Raw genomic sequence first — 9,339 nt, 5'->3', positions numbered from 1 at the left:
AGTTGATCATTGATCCTAAAATGGTATCATATTCACCTTTGAAATTTTATATTCTTCCTGTGTCATTTACACCGTATATACCATTTACAATGTGTTTTAGCATTTTGTTTCCCAAACAACATCAGGCCTCTTTTTTCGTGATTAGGTGTTATTTAATACCTTTCTCTCTCTTATTACAGAACATCTGAGAAGAAAACAGCAACTAAATGGTTGCCCACATGGAGTTTCAAGTGAAAAAAGACACTACATTTTAATTCTTTTTGCATTTGCCTTTTGACCTAGGCATGCAATTCTTCCAGATAGCTGTTCTCAGCCACAGTAATGTTACAGGATCTCTGGGTGTCAATTTTTTTTTTTTTTTTTGGCAGGAAACCTCTGTGGCTGCAGCACCTTTGGCTGAGTTCTTGTCCTGCATCCAGGAAGAATGAGGTAGGCAGACAAGTGAAGGATGAAGAAGAGAAGAGTTTTGTTTAGTGATAGAATAGCTCAGAGGAGATACCACTTAGAGTGGGTAGCTCCTCTGTGTAGGAAGGTCATCTTGTGGAGTGTTCAGCTCTCAGCAGAAAGGAGGCCCTGGAGAGAGTGGCTCCTCTCTCTGCAGCCAGGTTATTCGGACATCTCTGCAGATCTTTGAAACTCTCAGCAAAGAGAGTAGCTGGTCTCTGCAGGTCTCTGAAGCTCTCAGCAGAGATGGTAGCTCCTCTCTGTGGGAAGGTCGGCTCTGTAGGTCTTAGCAGAGAATAGCTCTCAGTAGAGAGGATACTCCTCTCTGCAGCTTGTCATCCCATTGTCTCTCTGCCCTCTTCTCCTCTGGCCATCTTCTGTCCTGCTCTGGCTGAGCCCAGGGCTTTTATGAACCTCAGAGGGAAGGACGTGCGTGATAATTGGTCCATGGGCAGCCATGGGCAGCCAAGAAGAGGCACCATGAGTCCCCACTCCACTTCAAAGGCCTGAAGGTGGGGCCTTTACTGGGGACCCACCCCTTTCTGCCCAGAACTTTGCCTCCTGCTGCCATCCATGGCCCCAGGGCTTATCCCCAACCCTGTGCCAAGATGGGAGCAGGTACCCAGAGCAAAGAGAGGCCAGGCAGTGGGAGCAGACACCCTCTAGCCTGCAGGGACAGGGTTGCGGTGTGTGTGTGTTTTGGGTGGGGGGGGGGGTCCTTCCTGAGGCCCCCGAGAGTGCAGGCTGCAGAGATGCCTGGAACCTGCTCCTAAGGGGGTGGCTGCAGTGCCTAGGAGGGCGGCCGCAGCCACACCCAGGAAGGCAGATCCTGCTTGCTCCCAGTCCTCCCCCAAGGGCACAGGGGTGCTGGGATCCACAACTGCACTTTGGGACGCTGTAGCCCCGCCCAGGAGGGCAGGGCTCCTGCCTTCTCCATAGAGCAGGAGGCCTGGGTCTGCAGCTTTGGTTTGGGCACAGGGAGATCCTGTCCTAACTCAGAAGGGGCAGGGCTCCCACCTGCTCCATGGAGTGTGTAGCCCCAGCCGCACTTCCCTGCTGATGCCGGCATGATGGCAGCAGCCCCTGCCATCAATAACTAGAATGCTGGTTCAAAACAGGTTATCAAAGAATAAGAAGCTGCTGCAAACACACTTATCAGCCATGCAGAGTAAAGTTGTGATCAATAAAATAATATTTGAAATCCTAGACCTACAGCATTTTTTGACTATTTACCTTTTCACCTCTCAACAGAATGTTATAATAATAAATTTTATAATCAGGGCAGGAAACATGGCAAAGTTACTAAATAATTGCACACAAAAAGGTTTTTAGCCATTAATTGCAAGCAACAGATTGGCAGTAATCTGAAAAATTCCTCCTCCTCATTCATTTCAAGATATCAGCCACTACAACCCTATTAACCGCCATATTCTGAAATAGCTAAATTTTGGCTTTGAATACTAAAAATTAATTTTTTTCTTCTTCCAATATTCAGTTACCAAAAGCAAATTAATGCAAGTATATTATCATATATAAATACACAATTATTTTTGGAACACTTTTCCTTTCCCTTCTTCCTATGTTCCCTTTTACTCAGATTTATCTTCACTTGGTACCTGTACACATCTTTATATCAGCACTTTTAATGGCTTATTTTGTTTGACTCTTGGTAGTATTAAAGACTGCTCCCTTGCCTTTCTTTTATTTGTAAGAAGGAGACATTTCTCTGAGTTGCTAGATTTAAGGACATTTTATTGGCTACAGTTGGTGAACTGAGCTTTAAAATTGCATAGATAAATGGTGATAGTCCTTGTGACTCGTGTCTCTTTCTCTTTTTCTCATTCCTCCACACCCCACCTGCCACTTTCATAAGAAATGGTTCTTGCTTAAAAGCAGTCAGAAGAGAGCATTGGTTGCTTGATTCCTCAAAGAGGAGGAGGAGCCACTATTTTCTCCTGTCTGTCACTTATTGGATCCTTTTTCTCCTAGAAGCATAAATAGAACTAATCTAAAAGGTCTTCCCTTGTGGGAGAGCTGAGACCTCTCCCTATTTCTTTGATTTCTCCTCTCTCTTCTCTACTGAACATTTGGGACTAAGCTTTATTTGCCCGTCATGGCTAGTCAGCTCTACACATTCTTGACAATAGTTTCTTGTTTTTTTCCTCTTATTTCTTCTCCTTTAGCATAGATCATTTTTCATAACGGAATAATAAAAGTCAGAACTTTGCCTTTGCCTTGGGAAAATAAACTATAAAACAAAACCTTGCTACAGTTCTACACATGGACTTGAGTAAAACCTAATTTATTAATAAAGTGTGTTTTTAAAGTTTGATTTGCTAGCCCTCAGCCCAAGCATATATTGACTCTCAGACTTCTTAAATTCTCTCAAGTCAAATTTTAGTATAACTGGTCAAAATACTAATTTATTTTACTAGAATCTCTTATAGAATTTGAATATATAACTAGAGTAACCAAGTGGACCTTCTAAATTAGCCATGGGAGGTGGGGATTGGGGGAGGAAATGTGAAGAAGGGTACTTGAAGCCAAGACAGGCAAGTGACCTGATCCTTTGTCATGCCCTCTCAAAAAGACTACGGATTCCTTATGACAGACTATACATCAATCACTTTTCCTTATCTTAATCAATCCATCATGGTAACTAGTGTATAATGGATGCCAAATAAATTAATAAATGGATGTGTCAACATACATCTAACTTAAGAATTTATGCATAGATATATGACCTATAAGACCAGACTGGAAGTGGTGACCACTTACCTTTCAGGTCTCAGTCCTCAATTTCTACTGTTCTCATCATTATTCACTGCTTTTTACCCACATTAGCCTCCCAGAAAAAAAATTCCTGTTTTCTGCTAGAATCTTTACACTCCCTATGTCCTCTGCTTGCAATGCATTGTCCCCAAATTTTTACATCCTGATACTTTCTCAATATTTACGCCTCAGCTAAAATATCACTTCATTAAAGAGGCCTTCCCTCATCAGCCTGTCTACAATAGCAACCCCTTGCCAACACCCTGTTGCTCTAGTTAACCTATTACTTAGTTCTATTTTTTCATCTCATTTATCAGTAACTAAACATTATTTTAGTTAAATATTCGATTATTACTTCACTAGGGAAGAGACGTTTTCTTTTTTATCCAAACATTACTTTGGATAATGCCTTACATACAGAAGATATGCAATAAACAATTCTTGATGTCTTGAGTGAATAAATGTGTGTGTGTGTGTGTACATGTGTACGTGTGTACGTATGTGGGCAATGGTATGCTGACAGGTGTTTAAGAACTGGCTCCCTGGGAAATAAAAGGTCCTGTTTTATAGCACTTGCTAATTTCCATGGGGTACTACTTTTACTATTCAAGCTACCAATGTGACATTGCAGAACTTAGAGTTGGGAAGATTTGCACACAATTATTCCTTTTGATTCAGTGCAAGTTGACTTGAGCTATCTCCAGCACATTAAATCTATGTTTCATCCATCAAATAGATGTTCATTAACAGACATTAGGATGTGTAGCTTTTAAATGCTTCTAAAATCTAGCCCCAACCTATATTTTTCAGTCTGTTTGCTGTCAATTTACTGGATCAGCTGATTACATGTGCTCAATTGATTGTTAATTTGCCATTTGCATGTCCCTTCCTCATCTGCCTAGCAAATGTCTAACAGTGTAAGACAAACTCGAGTAATTTGCATTTTATAGTTTCCACCAAATTAACATGTCTTTTTCTAAATAGTTAAATAACTATTTAATTTATCTATGTTTTGCAGGTAGTAGAATGCCCAATATGTAAGGGAATTTAAAAATATTTCCTTAATTTATTGGCCCTTAATATTTTAGTGGTTTCCAAATGAAATGAAAATTTAACTCTTAAAAAGAAATGAAACCAATACATGCTTTCTTCTCCATAAGAAAGCATAACTTTTTATAATCTTCTGTTTTTCTAGTGAATAGTAAATTTTTAATGCACAGCTCCACAGCAAGTTGAAGAGATAAGTAAGTCTTCCCTTAAGAGTTAGAGGTGGTAGCTCATTAGCAAAACATAAAGGAAGATGAAGTGAAAGAAGTATCTACACTCCTACTCTTGCTGTGCTTCCATTTAAACCACTCAGCAAGGTATATGCCAAAAAATTTTAAAATTCAACCTTTGAAAAATGGTTGGTCACAATCACCATATGTATTATGAAGAGTTAGTTATGAAATATGATTCATAGTTTTATTTAAAAATGAACCTCCATCCTTAAAAATATCACAGCCCACTTACCAGGATTCTTAGTGTATAGTTCTGTAACCAAAGCTGAAGTTAACAGCAAAGAATAATCTTTGTTTCCACTCAAATTTTGTAGATAGTAATACATGTATTCTAGAGCAGGATTCCATTATTCTTAGGTCAGTTACCCAAATATCACAATAACATCTAAATAAACAATATCATCATTTCTGAAGAAAAAAAAACATCTCACATGAGCTTGAAGAGAACTGAAAATTAATGCTTGTGAAAGGCCATCGAAAGGAACTCATTAATTTACTTAGTAAGATCTTTGTGGGAAATACAAACAAAATATTTTATTAATCAATGTTAACTTACACTAAAAGAAGGATGGGTAGCTGTCTATGTGATGAAAGATTAGCAAAAAACCCTCCACTATATAAAGAATTTTAAAGGTATATGATTATTTACAAGAACTATGTTTTCTTATGTTCTCTGAATCTGTGAATTTTTTTGTTGTTATATAACAGATGACTACAAATTTAGCAGCTTAAAACAACACATATTTATTATCTCACAGTTTCTGTAGTAAGAATTATAGTCAAGGTTTAGGTAAGTCTTTTTTTTCAACTGTCTTAAGAACTCTTACCATGAGATCTACTTTTTAAGTATAAATTGTAGCATTGTTATCTATAAGCATTATGATGGACAGCAGATCTCTAGAACTTACTCATCTTTCATTAATGAAATTTTATACCCCATCAACAACTCCTCATTTCCCTCACCCTCCAGTCCCTGGCAGCCACAATTCTATTGCTTGTTTCTATGAATTTGACTATTTTTAGGTATGTTTTCCACTCACACAAGGCTAAAATCAAGGGGTTGGTCAGATCGTGTTCTTCTTTGAAGGCTATACTGGAGAAGAATCCACTTCCAAGTTCACTCCTTTGACAGAATTCATTTCCTTAAAGCTGTATGACAGAAGGTCTGCCTTCTTACTGACTGTTGTCTGGAGGCCACCCTGAGGGCCTAAACACCTCCTGCAGTTACACTTCCCTGCCATGTAGCTCTCTTCTTAGGTAGTTTACAAGATGGCAGTTTGCATTTTCAAGGCTAGCAGAAGAGTATCTCTAATGCATTTTGTACCTAACAGCATTATCTATGCCTTTTAGTGTAATAAAATCAAGAAGATTTAATTCAATCACTTTTGCTACATTCTATTGCCTAGAAGTAAATTACAGAACTACCTATACTCAAAAATAGGGAATTATATAAGAAGTCACTCACTGAGGGTCACCTTGTTGTGCTGGTGCCATACCCTCATAATATTACAACAGCCTATTTCCTGTAACTTGGAAAGAAGTGAATACAGAATGTTGGTAGAAGGAAACCAGATATTCTGTCATAAAAATATTTTCATAGTACATTAGCTCTAAACTATCTCAATCTCCCTCAACCATTTCACAAAAAAAATAAAAAATAAAAATAAAAAGTAAATTGTCATCAAATTTTAAAGATATTTTGTTTTGTTCCATGAAGGCTAATATACTAGAGATATTCTGTGACATTCTGTTTACTGGAAAAATAAAAGCAAAGTCTTATTTACAAATTAAATTATTGAGAAAAATGAAGGTCTGAATGTTTACTATTTTCTATACTTAAATAGTACCCATTATTACTTGCCCACAAAATTAGGTCATCAATAAAATACAATGAGTTATTTGACAATGAAAAATATCAGGAGTTTGTGGCTTATGCAGGTATTTAATAGCATAATTTTAGAATGCTATGTTTTCCCATATATTATTAATTTGTAACTGGCATCACTTTATTTCACCACGCTAAGTTCAACAAAATCTATCAGGCACCATACGCACTTGCTTTGGCATTCTTTATTTAAAAATTATTTCTTCCTTCTTCTGCCCTTTCACTCCAGTACTTTGTGTTCCCTGAGTATTTTCACTCTTACTATTTTAGTGTAGTGGTGGCATGCATTAGCAATTTTCTTGAATAAAGCAGGGCACACCATGAGTTTCAGCATTTGTACTAACTGCTTGCTTTAGTTGGTGTTTATTTCTCTTTCAGTACTCATGTGAGGTACAGAGGTGAGAAAAAGAGCAGAAAAAATGATAGCATTTTTCTTCAACTAATAACAGGTAGTAGAGATTCAAGATAGTTGAAACAGACAGACACAATAAAGCAATTAAATTTTTATTTCCTTTTAAAGTTTAGCTTCTGGCACTCAACTAATACAAATTCACACATAGATGAGGTAGAATAGAGGCTGGGATAAAGAAGATTGAGAAACCTTGACAACAATAAAAAAAAATCTAATTTGATTTTTATTTGACTTTCAACCAAGAGACCAAGTGTTGAAATCAAAACAAACCCTAAGGCTTGTACATGCAGTATCTAATGTACTCAACAAAGCAGCAACTTGCAGTATTATATGAGTAAACAGCTTTTTGCCTGATGTAGAAAATAAAGTAAAAACTCTAAATAAATTCTGTCCAAATTTGAATTACAAATTTTGATAGTCTAGAAAGAAAAAGAAACAAAATAAAAACTTAAACTAATAATAAGATAGGCAAAAATACAAAGCTACTTTTGTTTGTGAAGGTAAATCCTAAATGCACTAAGATTTATGTATAGGTTTTTACTTATCAATAAATTGTATGAACTGGAAGAATGCCTTTTAAAAATTAACTGTTTAAATGGAGTTACATGAAACCATTTTTAGATAATAATTGATGATAAAAATGTCATTATCTGACTTATTTCATAATATAGGCAAATATGCAATATTTCACAGTATTTTTCATTAATATTCTCACAATAGTAATAAAAAATCATGAGGCCTGTTATAATTCACATAAATCCAAAATGGTTATCACTATGATCATCATATAGAGTTTCCATCTATGCTGTTTGGATTTTTATTTGTGAAGACTATTTAAACATATATTTTTTGATCTGTGAAATTAAAAGAAAATTGATTTAAAGTGAATGCATATTAACTTGTTTGATAAAGTTAATTTTACAAAGTTTAGGATATTAAATAAACAAAAAAATAAAGTTCAACAACTGCTAAGTGCAAAACAATATATTTGGGAAAAATAGACAAGCCAGAAAAATTGACAAGGTGCAATTAACAATTCAAATTTAATGTATTTACAACTGAATTTATGATCTACTCCTCTAAATGCAATCCTCTCCCCAAAGCTTTCAATCCCAGTAAATGACATTTTCATTTTTCAGGAGTAGAAATCCGGGCGTCATTATTTACACCTCAGTCTCACACTCTGTTCACACCCAGTCTGTCACCGAGTCCTGCTATTTTCTTTTATTCTGCTTGTATCTCAAGCAGGCCTTCTTTTTCTCATTGTTACTACTATCACCTTACCCCAAGCTGCCTTCATTTCCCATCTCTTCTACTTCACTAACGTGACAAAACCTCTTTAAACATCTACTCCCACTTTCCTCAGACTTTCCTTTTTTTTTTTTTTTTATTTGAGACGGAGTCTCTCTCTGTCGCCCAGGCTGGAGTGCAGTGGCGCAAACTCGGCTCTCTGCAAATTCCGCTTTCCAGGTTCACGTCATTCTCCTGCCTCAGCCTCCTGAGTAGCTGGGACTACAGGCGCCCGCCATCATGCTCGGCTAAGAGTGTGTGTGTGTGTGTGTGTGTGTGTGTGTGTGTGTGTGTGTGTGTGTGTGTGTTTTAGTAGAGACAGGGCTCGGCTAAGAGTGTGTGTGTGTGTGTGTGTGTGTGTGTGTGTGTGTTTTAGTAGAGACAGGGTTTCACTGTGTTGGCCAGGATGGTCTCGATCTCCTGACCTCATGATCCGCCCACCTCGGCCTCCTCACTGTGTTGGCCAGGATGGTCTCGATCTCCTGACCTCATGATCCGCCCACCTCGGCCTCCCAAAATGCTGGGATAACAGGCGTGAGCCACTGCACCCAGCCAGACTTTCCTTTTTAAAATAACCAGAGTGCTTTTGAAAAATACAAATGGAATCACATTATTCTTGGATTTAAAAGCCTACAAATGGCTGTTTTTTTAAAATCAACTAAAGATTATGTTTGTGATTTTAAATACAACTGACAGATTTCAACATGCTCTTGTCCTGGAATATCCCCAGCCTTTTCAAGCCAAGTCCTTTTTGTTCACACTGCTTCTGTCACACCATTATTGCCACACATATCTTACTATCTAGGACCTTCTCTCTTCCCAGTGTTTTCACTTGACATATTCTTACTCATCTTCTGGTATTTGATCAAATGTAACTTTATTCTTTAACCTATTATAAATTGTTCCCTGTTATGTCCTTGCATATCACATGGTTCTAATTACATTTCATTATATCATTTTTATTTTAGTATTTTTGTGTGATTGTTAGCTTACTGTTATTATCTTCCACCAGCTTTTAAGGAAAATAAACCCTGAAAGTTTATTTTGTTCCTTGCCATATCCTCAGTATCTGGCACTGGTTTAGTTTAAAGTAAGCAATGAAAATTTTTGGATAAACTAGTAAGGGGCTAAACATTAGTGTGTGTTATAAAGATATAATATTCAAATAAATTTTGCTATTCTCTAGAACAGTAAATTTTGAAAAAAAAATAGAACTATGGGAATGTAAAGTTGTAATAAATTTTTAAGTCACCTAG

The 9,339-nt window shown here is 37.0% G+C and overlaps 1 annotated feature.

Moving 5' to 3' along the window:
- Positions 859 to 1,358: an enhancer, noted in NCBI's record as "H3K4me1 hESC enhancer chr2:195129495-195129994 (GRCh37/hg19 assembly coordinates)". NCBI's record gives its function as "activates a minimal SCP1, AML or CMV promoter by ChIP-STARR-seq in primed H9 embryonic stem cells {active_cell/tissue: H9 hESC(primed)}" and the evidence as "EXISTENCE:reporter gene assay evidence [ECO:0000049][PMID:30033119]".

Source organism: Homo sapiens, chromosome 2 (assembly GCF_000001405.40).
Source record: "Homo sapiens chromosome 2, GRCh38.p14 Primary Assembly".
Classification (NCBI taxonomy): domain Eukaryota; kingdom Metazoa; phylum Chordata; class Mammalia; order Primates; family Hominidae; genus Homo; species Homo sapiens.
This window is presented reverse-complemented; position numbering and strand designations above follow the sequence as displayed.